Genomic DNA, 19,100 nt, shown 5'->3' with positions numbered 1-19,100 from the left:
GTTTCCTAAGGTTTTGGGTAATCTGACAGGTTTTTTTTACAGGTCTTTGTCTGAACCATGATACATGCCAATCATCACCAAGAACTTCTTTTTCTTTTCCATGGCTGCAATCATTTAAGTACATATGTCAAACATAAGACTGGAATATAGTAATGCACACTTTGGACTTTTTCACTAAATGTGTGGAGACAAATTGTACGAACTTGAGAGGACCTTTCTTTTTCATACAGAATTTCTGCTGATCCAAATATACTCCATTCTCTTAACAGCCCACAGTCATATGTAAATTGTGATATATATTTTATGCTAGTAATTTGCTAAACTGGTATTTAAACAAAGTTTTAAGCACAACTGCTCATGAAAATTTACAACCTGGTGAATCAGCAAACATTCATCTTTATGTTTTATGTATATTTTTCAAACTCATGACCCATTTTATTTTTGTATTTAATAGGAAAAATATTTTTCTTAACTTGCCGGTAGAGTTGTCATTCATTCTATAAAGTGGTTTTGAAATCATATCTTAGAACTTATTTTGTGAAAATATAATTACACTTCAAGTGTGTTACAGATAAATATCTGTGTGAAGTAAATCCTTCCCTGAATTTGTTTCTGTAACTGGATGTGGCAAAATAAAGTTTTCTTTAAGTACTATGAGGTGAATTAAATATGGGAATATCAACAAAGTAATAAGTATCTCTAAATACATTATCAAATGGTTCAGTGACACACACAATAAGATCCTAGTATAGAATCCCTTTTGTCAAAAATCCTCATTTCTGAAAGCTATAATGCAGAGAGTGAATAAGAAACAAATATGAAATGAAATATTTTTAACTATTTTACAATCCATTATATCGTTGAAAGAAATTATTCCAAAATTACCTAAACTGTACCCAATAACCTACTTCTTGTCCTCATAGACATGACTACTGCAACATCTCTGCTCATTTAGCCTTCCCCTGGCCCGACTGCGTTAATTATCAATTACGTACTAAGTGCACCTTCAGCTCCCTAGCTCTTCTAATTACTCTATGGAGTTTGCATATATATTGGTCCTTCCAGTAACACTAATAGATATATATACATATATGGATATATCACATGTATATGTCACTAATAGGACAGACACAGGATATTGCATAAATATTTTTAAATACACACATATATATCCTATACATGTTATCTTGCTCTCTCTCTCTCTCTCTCTCACATACACACACACACACACACAAATGAGAGCACTGCAATCCCTCACATTTCTCAACAATTCTCAATTATGAGATTGTTGTTAAGTCCAGCTTCAGTGGGCTATCATCTGAAATAATCGTTTTGGCAATCTAGGTGTGAATATATTAAAAAACAACCCTACCACACAATTGCTTAATCTGAAATCTGGCATATAGTAAACAGTTCGTGTTTATTGAACAAATACATGAAATAATAAATAAATAAAATAAATAAATAAATAAAATGCACCAAATGCCTTACAGACATTGTATTTCTAACTTAGTCCTTTTTCCGTCTTAAAATTTTTTATCTTTTTTTCTCTATAATCATTGGTTTCCCTAATCTTCATTCTGTCTTAAGATTATTGATCTTTTTCCTATCTATTCGCAAATAATATTCATGTGTTATAAATTTTTTCAAGGATCTAACTTTTCTTGTTTAAATTAATTCACAGGACAATTTATTCCTTCATTTTGTAGCAGAGGTGTGCTAGATAGCAACAGGAAACCTAAACATACATTAATAGTCCAAAGTTCTCAATCACTATTTCAGGGACTTCTTTGTTACAGTATGGAGTGATCTTACGTATACTGAAATATTTGAACTCAATAATTTAGACTGGATGAAAAATCTCTCCAACATTATTCAGTGCTATAGGGCTCATTCAAATATAATATAGTCAAGAACAAACAATTAAATAGAATAATTAAAGCAGAATGTCATTGCATATCAAAATTATGATATTGGGTCCTTGTTTTCACATTTCATGGTGTATATGAAATGCAGATACTCCATTTAATAAAGTCATATTGTTACTGTATCTTCACATTTTATACAATGTCCTAGAAATTTTACCATACTCAGTATTGTCTTGCATACACAACACTATAGCATAGAATTTAAGTTTCCAAATGTAAATAGTAAGAAATAAAGAAATGATTTCACAGATGAGATTCATCCAATTTTACTGATATGAGACTGCAGTATAGTCCCTAAGTTGTTTCACTTTTAAAGTTTGTTAAATTAATTTTAAGCTTTTTCAAATTAAAGATTTTAGAAAATATTGTAAGACTTTAGGATATTTTGTAATAAATAAATATTACTCTTTAATAAAATAGCCATTCTCATATTTAGTTGTAATACAACACAAATACTCACTAGAAATCTAATTGGTAAAATTCTTGCCTGCAATGGCAATGTATTGAAAACAAGTATTTTATGCTACAACAATATATTTATATTAAAGAAGTATATAGATAATTATATATTATAGAAGCATATAGATCAGTGGCATTACTAAGTAAGCTACTGTTTATGCTTATTTCAAACATTCATTCATTATCTTTTGGTCTTTTTGTCCACATGATGTCCACACGCTGAAAATATTTATACTGCAAAAATTAAATAAAATATAGTAACAGTTGAGTCTGCCAGAAAATTTACACGGTACATATATTTAAAAGACTTGTTATTGAGAAATGCTAAATCAAAACTTCAGGAGTCTAACTGAGATCTACCAAGGCGCAAAATATTTGAATACGCGATGAGCATAAACTGACTTTTCTCAGGTCTTCCGTATCTCAGGCAATAACAAATTTCTATAGTTTAGGGGCTCTTTCTTTCCCAGTACGTATCTCTCACCCAGACCAATGTTGGAGTTGAATATAATTCACATATACATGTATATGTATACTCATTTTTTTTACATTATAAATGTTTAAACCACAAAAATCAAACAATACCACACACATACACAATATATGCACACAGTATACACACACAAAAACATATATATACAGAGAGAGAGGGAGAGAGAGAGTATCATGTGTTGCTTAATGACAGAGAAACTTACTGAGAAACTCATAGGCAATTTCGTCATTGTGTGAACGTCAGAGTGGACTTACACAAACCTAGATGGCATAGCCTACTACACACCTAGCCTATATGGTATAACTTATTGCTCCTAGGCTATAAACACGTATAGCATGTTAGTATACTAAATACTGGAGGCAACTGTAATACAATGGTTAATTATTTGTGTATCTAAACATACAAAAGGTCCAACAAAAATGGAATATAAAAGATAAACAATTGAACACCTGAAGAGGCCAATTACCATAAATGGAGCTTGCAGGACATGACCTCATTCAGAGTGAGTCAGTGAGTGAGTTTTGAGTGAATGAGATTGTCTAGGACTTGACTGTATATTACTGCAGACTTTATAAACATGGTAAACTTATACTACACTAAATTTATTTAAACATTTTTCTTTCTTAAATAATAGCTTACTGTAATTTATTACTATATAACTTTTTTATTTTTTAAAATTTGACTCTTTTTGTAATAATAGCTTACAACACAAACATATTATACAGCTATATGAAGATATTTTTTATTTATATCCTCACAAATTTTTCTACTTTCAATTTTTTATTTTACCTTTTATACTTAAGATTTTTTCTTAAAAACTAAGACACAAACACACATTAGCCATTAGCATAGGCCTACTGAGAGGATCATCAATATCACTGTCTTCCACCTCCACATCTTACCCCACTGAAGGGTCTTCAGGGGCAATAACATCATGGAGCTATCCTCTCCTATGATAACAAGGTCTGCTTTTGGAATACCTCCTGATGAACTTGTTTGAGGCTCTTTAATAGTTACGTTTTCTCTTTTATAAATAGAAGGAATACACTCTAAAATAACTGTAAAAAGCATACAGTAATAACTAGATAAGCCAGATATAGTCATTTATTATCATCTTCAAAGACTATGTACTATATATAAACATATGTGCTATATTTTTCTATGACTGGCAGCCCAGTAGGTTTGTTTACATCAGCGTCATCATAAACAGGTGAGTAATGCGATATGCTAAGGTGTTACAATGGCTACTTTGTCACTAAGTGATATAAATATTTCAGAACCATGATAATCTTTTTTTTTTTTTGCGGGGGCGGGGACGGTGTCTCACTCTGTCGCCAGGCTGGAAAGCAGTGGTGCGATCTCAGCCTACTGCAACCTCCACCTCTTGGGTTCAAGCGATTCTCCTGCCTCCCAAGTAGCTGGGACTACAGGCACGTGCCACAACGCCCAGCTAATTTTTGTATTTTTAGTAGAGACGGGATTTCACCATGCTGGCCAGGATGGTCTTGATTACTTGACCTCATGATCTGCCCACCTTGGTCTCCCAAAGGGCTGGGATTACAGGCCTGAGCCACTGCGCCTGGCCCCATTATAATCTTAAGGGACCATATTTGTATATGTGGTCCATATATACACACATTTAGCTGTATTCAAGTAAAACAGTGTGAATGTGCTATTTTAAAATATAATTAATCAGATTAACATAGAAGAGAATCTAAATTACATTCAGTACACACTATATTCCATAGTCTGTCTTTTTAAAATTATTTTGTTTAATTCTTAAGAGGGTAGTTTTGCCAGTATTCTATACGTATGCCTTCTGCAGTTCAACAACTATTTCAGAATAAGCAAACATAGGGAGAAACATTTAAATTTCCGAAGATTACACGGCTAATAAGTTTCAGAAGTGAGGTTCAGGCCCAGGCTGACTTCAGAGTCCAGAATCTTTCACCTACTTGGTTCCCTCATATTAAATACAAACATCTTTTGTATTAGGAGGAATGAGAAGCATAACTAGGCTCTACATTTCTGAAACTGGAGAAAGAACTTTCCAAAAAGGATGCTTGATTGGGCTAGAAATAAAACAAGAACAACAACAACAAAACTTTTTAAAGACTAACCACTTTGCCTAGAATGAATCCTTTTAAACTTCACCTGTCATGGTTCAAGCAGAAACTGTGTAGTAAAAATGTCTGTCTTGCAGCTGCAAATATAGGCAGCTGCTCTTTGCATGTTTTACGAAGTTTTTTTTTAAATGCAGATGATTCCATATAAAGGAAAATCTCACTCTGGAGATTTTATAAGAGGGAACACATTACAAAGTGTAATTAAATTAATTCCTCCCCTTCATTTATTTGACAATGTACAAAGATGATGATATATGATTACTTTCTAAAATTTTATATATGTAATTGCTTTTTGATCATAACCCTATATGGTATCTTCAAAACTACCAACTAATCGGCTTCCAAAATAATCTGTAAAAATACAAAAGCCGAATTTTCATTAATGCATAGAGTGACTGTAATCTATAATATCATGTGCCAAATATAGTTAAGACTATAACGCCATGTGCAGCAGCCAAGGAAAAATGTTCAAAGGTATTGCCTAGAGCACAGCAAAGTGTTCATTTTTATACCAAATGTGGAAGTTTATTTTAGCTCGGGTTCAAGTAGTGAATTGCTCTTCTTGCCAAAATTCAGGGAAATATATAATTCCTTTCTATTAACCCAACAATGAGTAACATATTAGTTGAGTGAAAGATACAGCCATGAGTCCACAGACAAATAGTGTAGTCACCCTTGGGGATAAGGAACACGTGGCAGGCATCTTACACAGTCTATTAGAAAAAAGTGAAAAAAAAATCTGTAGGAATACAGCTGCTGCTCTGCAATGAATTGAAAACCTGCGGGTGCAGAAACTTGAAATTTTTACCAATAATAATTGGGATTTTGTACAAAGAAGAGCTATTAGTTCAGTGAGGGAGAAAAGAGAGGTGAAAGTTAATGAATAAGAAGATATTAAGCCTTTATTAGAACACATGTCATCTTTTTAGTCAAGCCTGGATCATATTTCCTATATGGTCTTTGTTGCGAGATACATTACACATGTAATTGTAACTTTATGTTTAGGTTTATATCCATAGCTCTGTACATAATTATGATTCTGGTTTCTGGAAGAAATTACCTTATGAAGTTCAGTTACTCTCAAGTCATTTTCTCTGTTGTTTCTAAAAAATATCATTAAAGAATACCATACTGGGAATATGATACATATAACTAAAGCTATATCTACAATTATCTATCTATCTATCTATCTATCTATCTATCTATCTATAATCTATCTATTTACACTTGACTTCCATAGTAAAAACTTTGGTGTTTACTATATCCATGCAAACAAAAGACTAACATAACTTTCATAGGATTATCAAGCAATTATTTTTTTTCTGACTAGGTATACTGTATTTGTATTGTCCTATATACTCTGCATACCCAGACTAAATAGGTAGGGCAAACATTTATTATGAATGATTTGATGGCAAAACATTGTTGTTCTTCTTGAATATATTACTGTCTCATCAACAGTGTTTGAATGTGTCCAAAATAAATTTACTCCTTTGGAGTTCAAAGATGAATAATGTGGAATTCACTTTATTTTTGTTTGTTTATGTTGCTAAACAGAAACAAAAAATGCTTCATTCTTTATAATGAGACAGAAATACTACAGAACAAGCATGCTACAGTAGCAAGTCTTCTTTTATTTTGACATTCTTGTATATGAGTGCCTTAGAGAACTGGTGGAGATTGAATATGGATTAGGATTATCTCTGAATCTTTTCCAGATACTGAGTCAAGGGCAGGAAGCAGACAGTATGACTACTACAAACTCACCAGTGAACACTTAACTGAAGTAAGAAGAACCTTCCACATAGATGAAAATGAAGGGGTATGATAGTGGTTCCACATGCCAAATTAAATTAATTACAGATTAACTGGTTTTAGACTATTTTAAGGGGTTTTTCCCAAAGTATCTGCTAGTATTTTCTGCATCTTCACAGGCAATGAAAATATTTTTTAAAAACTTATTTTGAAAAACTTGCTCCCATGGTTGTATAGAGTAGAATCAGTATCTCATTTAATTTGTAAAAATACAGTCAAACTAAATTGTGCTGCAATTACACAAATTATGTTTAAATTATCTGAAACTCTTGTGTATACGCTGTATATAACCATAGTTTCTATTACATTATCAATTTAAAGATATTATTTTGAAAAGGGAGCTCATACCATATACTAAAGCCAATGTTAACTCCAAGATTACATTATAACATTAATAAGCCATTTATTTAACCAAGAATTGAACATTTTATATAAAAAGAGTAACAAGTACTATGCTAGTCATAGTGATGTGATGAATAATCATGAGTAACTAACACAAAACCAGAGTGTCAAGTATTAAGTTTAAATAAAAGGAAAAAGAAAGAATGGAATACCCACAAGACTTTGACACATATATAAATAATTTTAACATTGTAATGAGCTGCTATTAAAATGAGAAAATTTACAGGAATACAATTTTTAAACATATTTAAACCAAAACATTTCAATAGTGGAATTAAGCAGACTCAAAATTTCAGAGTGTATGAAAAGATAATGGGTTGCCACTCACCTTTGTGAGGGCTCACATGGCAAACATTTTCTGAAGTGCCTTTTCTTTAGTGTAGTATCTTACAATAAGACCAATATCCATCATAGTTCCTCCCCAGCCTACACTTCTTTCTCTGTCTGTTATTTTGGTTGATGGCATTACCATTTATCCTTCCTGTTCAGCCAAGTACAAAATCTTGTTTGCAATACTGCATTTACCCCTGTTTTTTCCTCTCAATATGAAACTGTTGCCACTTTTTGGATTTTACCAAGACAATGCTGCATCTTGCATCTTGCCTTTCTTCATAATTTTAATTTTCATTACCATAGCAAAAGCCCACTCCCTGCCACTACTACTTTTCCAGATGGTGGTACGGCTTCTTGTATGTCTAATATTTTTCCAACAACCTCAACTATTGCTGGCTCCAAGATGTCTGGTTTTGACCTTCTATTTTTATACCCTATTCTAATGGTATTTAAGACAATTTGTAACTCAGAGTATCCTACACATGCATATAAACATACACACAAATATTTAGCTTAAATCTATATACATATCTAAGAGTTTTCTGGGCAGACTCTATTTTTAATGTCACAGAAATGGCAAATATACACAGATGAAGAAAAGTGTAGCAGAAAGCATTTCCATGTACCTATCCACTCATGTTTCAAGAATAATCAAAATGTTGTCGTTTTCGTTTTGTGTCTTTCCTTTATTGTTCTTTGCTACAGTATTTTAAAGAAAATATGAGATACCATATCATTTTATCTATAAGTTCATTATGCATCTTTAACTAATATAAAACTCTTTTCTAATGGAACCACTATGAAATCCTCACAACTAATTAAGTTAAAATCCTTCTTTAATAGCATATACTATGCTATCCATATTCCATTTCCCTAAATGCTTCCAAAACATATTTATAGTTGGTTTGTGCATATCATGATTAAAGAAATTTCACATACTGCATTCTTTACCAAAGCTCATAAAACTTTTTATTCCATAACAATGTTTCTTTCCTCATATAATTGATATGCTAGATAAAATAAGTCATTTTATCTATGTAATCCCCCATATGGATTTGGCTGATTGTTTCTTTATGATGTTATCTAACTTGTTATTCTATCCCCATATATCGTGGAAACCCATAATTTAAGTGCCAAACAGACAATATACATGAACATGCAGCAGGCATCTCCAAATTTGCATGCTAAAAATAATATGACCTCTTCTCTAAAACATTTTTTTCACTTATCACATATTCTCTATCTCATTTATAAACTTAATCATATATTTAACCAAGAAAAATAAAAATTAAGAATACACTTTGAACATGCCCCTTCTCTCTCTCCCACACTTTATTTGGCTGTCATACTTTGACCTAGCTACTTTAAAAGCTGCCCAATTAAGTCTACCTCCTCTACCTTTAAAATGCTTTCAGAATGATCTAAACTCATCAGTCTCTTACTGCAAAACCCCTTAATAGATTGAATGTACTTTTCCATCATAGCTCCATCATTCAATACTCTTCACATTTTGACCCAAGTTATATTCAAACATTCACTTATATGTTTTCAAAACTGCAAATTTTGGTTCCATTGTTCGCACGGTACCCCCCACCATGACTAAAATGTGGCTCCCTCCCATTCCAAAATGCTCACATTCAACCATGTCTTACAAAAGTCATGATGTTTGCTTTTCCACTACTTAAAATGGATTTCTTTCTCCTCCAAACGTTCATTTAAATATGCACATTTATGGTACTCAATATTTCATACTTTTCTATTATATTATACATTTCTATATATTTATGTTGTGTGTAATTCAGTTATGCATATATACAAGGCAAGGGGCAAATAAACACAGCATAGTAGTGTAAGTTCACTTATGGAGAAAGCACAGAATACTGACAGCATATAAAGAAGACATTTGGACATGCAGATTCCAGGGAGCTTCATGAAAAAAAAAATGACATTTAAACTAAGATCTGAAAGAGTCAAACAAAATGATAATGGAATTGTCTTCCAGATGTAAAGGAAAGAGCTTTGTAAAGGCACCCAATTACTAATACATTATTACAAAAAAAAAAAAAATAGTGAATTTTCCATGGCTGGCCATGACGGTATAGTTGACTCCAGACAATCCCTTTCATCTAAACAACTAAAAAACAGAAATAAAAAATAAATACTGTCACATCTGGTAAACAGGCAGTAGAGAATATTAATCCCTGAGAGAAGGGGGAAAAACTAGATCACCCTGACTTTCTTCCTGGAGACACTTACCAGACACAATACTGAGGGGGAAAATGGCACAGTGGTTTCTATGTGCTATGAAGACACATACGCAACTTTACAGGAGTTAAGATGGCTAAAGTTTATGTCAGATTATTATAGAACAGGAGGCTACATAGAAGGAGCTCCAGACATCAGCATAAGTGTCCCATTGAGTCTGTAGTTGAATACTAAGCTAATCTTAGAGAGGGAAACAACAACTACTGGAGAGTGGTAAACTGGAACGCTACCAGAACTCAGGTTGCTGAGAGATTTCCAAGTTCCATTAAGGCAGAGTACAGTGATTTGTTGAGTAACTGGAATATTCAATACAGACCCCAAAAAACCCAAAACGGTGAAGTAGAACTAAGCTACTTCTAGAGTACTGGCTCCACAAAGTCTAGCCTAAAATACTTTAAAACAGGGCTTAAGCAGATCATCTTAACCCTGAAATGTTTCAATTGTTGCCACAAAGTAATACAATCTGCTTTAAAGGAAAATACCAACGTCTAGAAACTCAACAATATGATAATCACGACGACCAACATATAACAAAAAACAGTAGACTACTGAAAATTCATGGAAATGTGACCCACAAGCAGGAGAAAATATATCCACAGAAATATATATAAATGAAAAATAAAATGGAATTAGCATATATATTCGAGGATTTGAAGGAAAATATAAATCAGGATAAAGGGAAATGGAAACCATTGGGAAAAAATAAAACGGAACTTTAAAGCTATAAGTACAAAATCTAAATTAAATGCTCACTGGCTGTGCTTAACAGAAGAAAAATAGTAAACTTTAGGACATCACAATTAAAATTATCCAAACTGAAACATGGAGAGAAAAAAATAAATGAGCAAAGCATCAGTCATTGACTGTGATAAAACGTCAGCCAGTCCAACATACATGGAGTTAGAGTTCCAGAAGAGAGGGCATAAAATGACTGAAGAAATATATAGTGGAAAATTTCCACATTTTATTAAGCAATACAAACCCACAAATTCAAAGAAACTTAATAATCTCTAATTAGGATACACATAAAGAAATTATAATGAGGTATATCATAACAATATTTCTAAAAATCAAGAATTAAAATCTTGAGAGCAGCTAGAGAAAAAAGTCACTTAATGCACAAAAGAACAAATAAGAACAATGGTGACAGTGCATCAGGAATAATGCAAACAAGAAAAGAATGGAAACAGATTTAAAAACATAAGCATGTAAAAACACATCATGCAAACACTAATCATATGATGGCTGGGAAGTCTCTATTAGTATCAGGACCCAAGTTTATTACAACATGATTAGATATAACGGAGGTCATTTCAAATAATAAGAATCATTTCACAAGAAAGACATAAAAATCCTGTACGTGTATGCCACTACCAGCGCTTCCAAATACCTGAAGAACTGAAAGGAAATCCTGACAGAATTAACAGGAATCAATCAACAATTATAGGTAGAGGCTATACCATTCCACTCTGAGAAAGTAAAACAGGTAGACTAAACTAGGTCAGAATTTAGAAGATGTGAATTAGCCTATTAGCAAACTTTACCTAATAACCATTAATAATACACTACAACCAACAACTACTGAATAGTCTTTTCAAACACACATTAAATGAGGTGCAGCACACCAACATGGCACATGTTGTAACAAACATGCACGTTGTGCACATGTACCTTACAATTTGAAGTATAATGATAAAAAATACACATTAAATATTATCTAAGATACTTAATATTCTGGAACATAATTAAGTCTAAAGTGTAATATGACTAAATCCTCCAGATTATATTATCTAAACCTAAGGAATCACATTCAAAATAGGTAATAAAAATATATCTAAATTGCCAGATACAGAAGTGTTTTTTTAATTGATTTAAATAACACTGGAAAATAAAAATATAAATTTAATCATCCTAATCTCCTTGAAAGACAAAACCCACCAAAACTGACACAAGAATGGTATCAATCAAACATATCACGATTAAAAATATATATATATTTTTAAAATCTTCCCACAAAAAAAAGTTAGCCAAGATGACATAGCCCATAAATTTTGTCAACCATTTAAGAAAAAATAGCATCCAGCTTCTATAAACTTTTTCATAAAATCAACAGAGAGCACTTCCCAATTAAAATCAACAGAGAACACTTCCCAATTAATTTTATAAAAATATCATTATCTTTATACCAAATGCAGAAAAATATATTACCAGAAAACAATACCATCACTAATATAGACACAGAAATCCAAAAGAAAATATAAGAAAAATGGATCTAACAATATATACCACAGACAATATCATGATGAAGCTGGATTTATCCCAAGAATGGAAATCAAACAATGGAAGTTATCACATATATAAAATAAAAGATAAAAACCATATGATCATAAAGATAGATGCCTCCAAAATCTGACAAAATTCAACATCAATTAATAATAAAATAGCAAACTAGGAATATAAGAACATTTCCTCAATCTGATCAAGAATCTCTTTTAAAAGTCTACATTTAACCTCATATTTGATAGTGAAAATTTGCATATTTTCTCCCTGAAATCAGGAACAAGACAAGGATATCTGTTCTCATCACCTCTATTCACAATTTTTCTGGAATCCCTAGGCAGCAGACTAGGCAAGAAAACAAAGAAAAAAGTATAAATCTTGGCAAGAAGTAAAACTAATTCACAAATAATTTGTAAGCAACTCACAGAAATTACATTTTAAAAAACTATAAGAATAAGTAAATATATTTGCAAGGTACTGCTCAACATGCAATAATTAATTGTATTTCTATATCCACAAAGAAAAATACCTTTGCTATAAACACAATACCATTTACAGTAATAAAAACACAAAATATTTAGAAAAAAATTTCACATAATATATAAGGAACCTAAACACATAAAAGTAGAAGGCTGTGGAGAAATAGGGACGCTTTTACACTGTTGGTGGGACTGTAAATTAGTTCAACCGTTGTGGAAAATAGTGTGGCAATTCCTAAAGGATCTAGAACTAGAAACACCATTTGATCCAGCAATCCCATTACGGGCTATATACCCAAAGGATTATAAATCATTCTACTATAAAGAAACAGGCACATGTATGTTTATTGAAACATTATTTACAATAGCAAAGACTTGGAACCAACTCAAATGCCCCATCAATGATAGACAGGATAAAGAAAATGTGGCACATATACACCATGTAATACTATGCAGCCATAAAAAATAATGAGATCATGTCCTTTGTAAGGACATGGATGAAGCTGGAAGCCATCATTTTCAGCAAACTAACACAGGAACAAAACCAAACACCACACGTGCTCACTGATAAGTGGGAGTTGAAAAATGAGAACACATGGGCACAGGGAGGGAAACAGCACACACCGGGCCCTGTCGGGGGGTGGGGGGCAAGGGGAGGGAGAGCATTAGGATAAATACCTAATGCATGCAGGGCTTAAAACCTAGATGATGGGTTGATACGTGCAGCAAACCACCAAGGCACATGTATACCTATGTAACAAACCTGCACATTCTGCACATGTATCCCAGAACTTAAGGTAAAATAAAAAATCAAAAAGTAGACAAAGTTCCTGAAGTTAAAAGAGATCTAAATAAATTGAGAAATATTCCATGACCTTGAATTGGAAAAATCTATATTACTAATATATCAATTATCTCCAAGTTGACCTATAGATTCAATGTAATTCTCCAAAAATGAACTGCAGACTTTTTTTGAGAAAATTGCCAAGAAGGTTTTAAATTTATATGGAAAAGGAAGACCTCAAATAGCCAAAATATTTTTCCAATAAAGAACAAAGACAGTGTGCATTACCTTATTTCAAGATTTTATACAAACTTACAGATATCCAGACAATTTAGTGCTGGAATAATGATAGAAATACAGATTCATGGAACATAACAGAGTCCAGAAATAGAACCACATATATACAGTATTTTTATTTGAACTAAGGTCCTATAATCATTAAATTTGAAAAGGGACATTAGTAATCGTCATTGAAAGAGCTGGATATTCTTTTGGAAATACACTGTGGCTTATGCATGCCTTACCAGCAAAATAAATAATTTTAGTAAATATGGTATGAGATATACAACTTTAGACTGACACTATTTCTACTGTAAGAATAATTCCCAGATTATAATTATTTTCTAATTCTGTTAATTTCCTAATTCTCCTTCAGGTCAACTTCTCTGCAAAGATTTGAACATCAACTGAATATACTGGGAAATCTAAGGGAAATTCTCAGAACTATTAATAACTATGACAACTTAAGTACTTATGAATACTTCTTACTGCAGTTCCTAAAAAAGCGTCTCTCAAAAAAAGCTTCAGGCCTAGGATTCTTATCTACTTTTGAAGATTCTAAAGGAAAATTTAAAATGAAGATGTCTGTTCTTAAGGTTTTTGGTGTTGAACACTGTATATCTGCACACTTTAGGTTTATTTTAAAATCTCCACTTTAACAGTATCTTCTTCTCCCTACAAGGACAAATAAATTTTTCCAGAGAGGCTGTTTGATGACAAAGCAGTCAAAGAGACGTGCCCCTACCTGTGAAGTATCTTCCAGTAGAAACTATCACCAGTTATTTGCATTTTTGCTTAGGCATGCTGTGTATCCCTGCTTGTTCCACAGTATTAAAGTTAGAGAAAGCCTTCATTTATGAGGTCAAAATAATTAAGTACACATCCTCTGTGATGATTAATTTTATGTGTTAACTTGACTGAACACAGGCTGCCCAGATATCTGATCAAACATAATTTCTGAGTATGTTTATACAGTTGTTTCTTAAAAAGATTAGCATTTGAATTGGTGTGCTGAGTAAATAAAGCACATGGCCCTTCCCAATGTGGCTGAACAGCATAGGATACATTGAGAGCCTGAATAGGAGAAAATGGGAGGAAGGTAGGATTGGCACTCTCTCTGCCTCAATGCCTGAGCTGGAACATCCATCTTATCCTGCCCTCAGTGCCCCCGGTTCTCAGGTCTTCAGATTCAGACTGGAATCACAGCACTGGCTTTTCACTTTATATATATCCTATATGTTATTCATCCTATTATTATCCTATATATTATATAGAGAATGAAAAATTATCCTAATTTAAATATCCTATATAAATAGGGTATTTTATAAACATATCAACAGATATATATATTCAATAAATTTATATATATACACACCAGTGCATATGCACACACATCAAAAACATGTACGCTTTTATATTACTATATATTATATATAGTATATAATATGTATGTTTTTGATGTATGTGTGCATATGCGCTAGTGTGTATATATATAAATTTATTAAATATATATCTGTTGATACTTATTAGTGTATGTATATATACATATATATACAGTGTATGTATACTGAGGCTGCAGTGAGTCATGAGTATACCACGGCATGTATGTATACTGTGGCTGCATTATTAGTGTATATATATATTAGTGTATGTATATTGAGGCTACAGTGAGTCATGAGTATACCACGGCACTCCAGCCTAGGGGACAGGGCAAGACCCTGTCTCAAAAAATAAAAAATTAAATGAAATCAGAGTGAAGTGACTGAGTCACTCCAAAATTTTCCTTCTACTCTAAATTTCAACTGATTCTAGCCCCTTCTTTCAACATTCAACAAATAAATTGTCTTTTTTTTAGCATGTTGTAGTAATTCTCATTCAGTGACACATCTCTGAATATTTACATTTTTGTTGAAATGCCGGGTACGGACTAAGAACTGCGGAGGCAGAGTTCCATGTGCTGAAGTAGAAGGCAGCGGTACCAGCTCCGGTGTGGGACAGGGCGCGAGATTTCAGGAAGTCCACTAGTGCTGGCTTAGAAGGCAAAGGGTATGAGTTCCGGAGTAGAAGGCAAAGGGTATCAGTTCCGGAGTAGAAGGCAGCCGTATGAGTTCCGGAGTGGGACAGGGCGCGAGATTTCAGGAAGTCCACTGGTGCTGGAGTAGAAGGCAGCGGTCTGAGTTCCGGAGTAGAAGGCAGCGGTCTGAGTTCCGGAGTAGAAGGCAGCGGTATGAGTTCCGGAGTGGGACAGGGCGCGAGATTTCAGCAAGTCCACTGGTACTGGAGTAGTTCCACATTGCCTTTATTTTGTTTAACCTGTCTTTGTGTCAAAATGATAGTTCATGTTCCTCATGTTAAAACATGCAGTTTGAGTACCATGTTTTTGGTGTTATCCAAGGAAAATTTAAAACCCGTAGCATGAATAATGTATGTTTTTCACTTGAAATCTTGCGAAGGTATTAAATGTATTGCTGTTAAGAAACTGTGAATTTAAGTTTTTTTTAAAGCTGTTCTTTAATACGTTAAATGGCTCTGAGTAAAGGAAAAACACACACACACATACACGTATTTTATATAATCCATATATATATATATATACATATATATATCCTGTAAGTATTTTATATAATCACATATACACACACACATACACATATATATTCTATTGAGTATATATTGGTTCTGTTTCTCTGGAAAATGCTGCCTAGTACACCCAAGTAATTTCAGTCCCTATAGATTATTTAAGTATCACTGTAGAAGACCTAAACATATGATCAGAAGAATCAGATCAAAATTCATGTCAGAAAGACAATTTTCCCTCTATAACATTTTATAATCCATGAAAAAACAAAACAAAACAAAAAACCCTGGATATAAAATAAAAACTAAGGCTGTGATAACACCAATGGAAATAGTGTATTTTCTTAAAGTGTATTTGTATGAACTATAATATTTTAAAATATTTTACTCAGTAACCAATATTATAAGTATTTTATATAATCACATATTCTAAAATCTTACCTTTTAAAATTTTTACAATGGCATATTGTGATAGAAATTATTAAATTCATATTCTCACTTTAGCCATTGTTACTTGTAAAAACTGTCAAAAAACGTGTTTCTCTGTTGCAAAAGTTTCCAGGCAGAACTGCTATTTAAAGACATTGCCATTTTTGCTGTCTATGTGCCAGCTCTTCTGTGAAGGCTTCCTGGCCTTTCTTCTTCCTTCGGGCAAATTAAATCACAATCGTCAATATTTTACCAAGCTCCTTAAGTACAGTAGTATTGTTAAATCTATCACACTCTACCTGAGTTACTATCTTCCCTATAAGACTATTAAATCCATGGATTATAAATAATCATCTTATTTATTTATCGTTTTGTACTCAGTGTCCTGAATTGTACCATGCATACTGGGTATTCTAAATCTCTTCTGAATACATCTTTAATTTATACCTTCTCTTGTGTTGGTTATACTATACTATCCATAGCTTCCTTTTGCAATAATCCTCTTACCCACTTCTTTTTGGCTTCATTTTATTGTTTGTAACATACAGATTTATAGACTACTTAAAAATTTTGCAGAACAGCAAGGAACTAAAGGTTTTATTATATAAAAAGTATGCCTATTTATCTGTAATGTTTTGATCAACATTTAATTTGTTATAAGACATATTGCATACTTTGATGGACAAAAGAATTTTTATGAAGATTGTTATCATCATTGTGGTGACACATAAATTGCAGTAAGTTGTTCTTGGTTTATACTCAATTTCAAATTAGCTATTCAATTTTAAAACATCTAAGTAATGCTCAAGACGGTGAAGGACATTATGCATAATCAAAAGCAAGTAAGCACAATTTAAAATATTTTTGTTTTTGTTGTTTTTCTTGTTATAGTGAATGAATCTATTATAAAAATAATTTGTAATTCATATTAGCATGGGCTTCAAAACCCTTCACTCTATTGTTGTTTCATTATTGTCAGAGGTTTTCTTGTTTTTAAATGGTAAGAAACCATGAAAAATTTGGTGGAGTAATCAAAAAAATAAAATGCTTTGATGTAGCAACCTGCAGTGGATATCAACTTGAATCTCTATTAGGGATTCATTTTAGTATAAAGTAATATTGCTTGAAGAATATTCATATCAGTGCCAGTAACATTTTTAAATTCTTCATGATCATTATTTCTTTCAGCGTCCTATATTAATTTGCTTTTCACAACACGGCGACCCCTGACATTTCAAAGATCAGTTGTACTAGTGTTGACATGCTTTTATGCCTTTGTTTCTCTACATTTTCCTATATTCCATTTCTTAAGCATTTCATTAAACAAGATGCATCTAGCAAGACTAGATTTCCTAGTCTTGCTTTGTCTGTAGTTAAATCTATGAATGTAAGTGGAAGAAAGAAGAAATAAATGAAGGAAGATGTGTCAGATATTTGGGAACAGAGGTGTTTGACTTAAAGTGGTGAGGATTTCTCTTGTATTTCAAGGGGAATTCAAAGATGTCAAAAGAATGGAAATATTAACTTTAAGAAAAAAAAAGACAGACATTTCGATTGAATGAAATGTGTAGATCGATTTTAGGAAATTGAGACCTTGACATATGTTGATTCTTCTGATCTATGATCACCATGTGTCTCTCCATGTATCTGAATTTCATTGGCTTTCTCTCAGCAATGATTTTGGTTTGGAGTGTATAATCTTGAACTAATTTGGCAAGGATATTATCTTTTAAGTTATTTTGAATGCCATTTTATCATTTTGTTTTGTAATTTGAAATGTTGATTTTTTTTTTTTTCTTTTTGAGATGGAGTCTTGCTCTGTCTCCCTGGAGTGCAGTGGCACAATCTTGGCTCACTGCAATCTCCACCTCCTGGGTTCAAGCAATTTTCTGGTCTCAGCCTCCTGAGTAGCAGGGATTACAGGCATGCACCACCACACCTGGCTAATTTTTTATATTTTTAGTGGAGATGGGGTTTCACCATGTTAGCCAGGATGGTCTCAATTTCCTGACCTCATGATCCGCCCACCTCGGCCTCCCAAAGTGCTGGGATTACAGGTGTGAGTCACCGTGCCCAGCCAAAAGGTTGATTTTTAATTGTATGATGTTGGTACATAATACACAATTTAACTTGGGATTTTTTAAAAGATGAAAGGTATGAAAATAGACAAAAAACGTTGTGAAACAAATAACACATTGAGTTTTCTACTAACTAATTTCAGGATTGACAGCAATGCCAATATGATCACAATTCTTATTTCCCCTGAATTGCAAGAATATGAGTAGAAAGTTATCTTAAAAAACAAATAAATACAAATAACTGCTGGAAAAAAAAAAAAAAAACTTCCTAAAAAAAAAATGAGCAAAAAGGAGAAAAGGCCTACAAGACACCAAACATATTTTAAATAATGCGTTTTTGGTGCATGAAGAGATGGAAAAACCAAGGCGCCAA

General features: G+C 32.6%; 1 protein-coding gene across 15 annotated transcripts in view; it reads right to left on the bottom strand.

The window, feature by feature from the left end:
• NCAM2 (neural cell adhesion molecule 2) overlaps positions 1-19,100 on the bottom strand; it is a 544,921-nt gene that overhangs the window by 380,534 nt on the left and 145,287 nt on the right. For 6 of the 15 annotated variants that reach the window (XM_011529575.4, XM_047440784.1, XM_011529581.4 and 3 more), the window contains exon 1: positions 15,545-15,634. The exons of the other annotated variants lie outside the window; for them this stretch is intronic. The gene's annotated coding sequence lies outside the window, so the exon portion shown is untranslated. Of the gene's footprint in view, positions 1-15,544; positions 15,635-19,100 lie in introns of those variants that run through there. 15 annotated transcript variants of the gene reach the window in all.

Source organism: Homo sapiens, chromosome 21, assembly GCF_000001405.40.
Source record: "Homo sapiens chromosome 21, GRCh38.p14 Primary Assembly".
NCBI classification, from domain to species: domain Eukaryota; kingdom Metazoa; phylum Chordata; class Mammalia; order Primates; family Hominidae; genus Homo; species Homo sapiens.
Note: the sequence above shows the minus strand (reverse complement) of the source record. Positions and strands in the feature narration are given on the sequence as shown.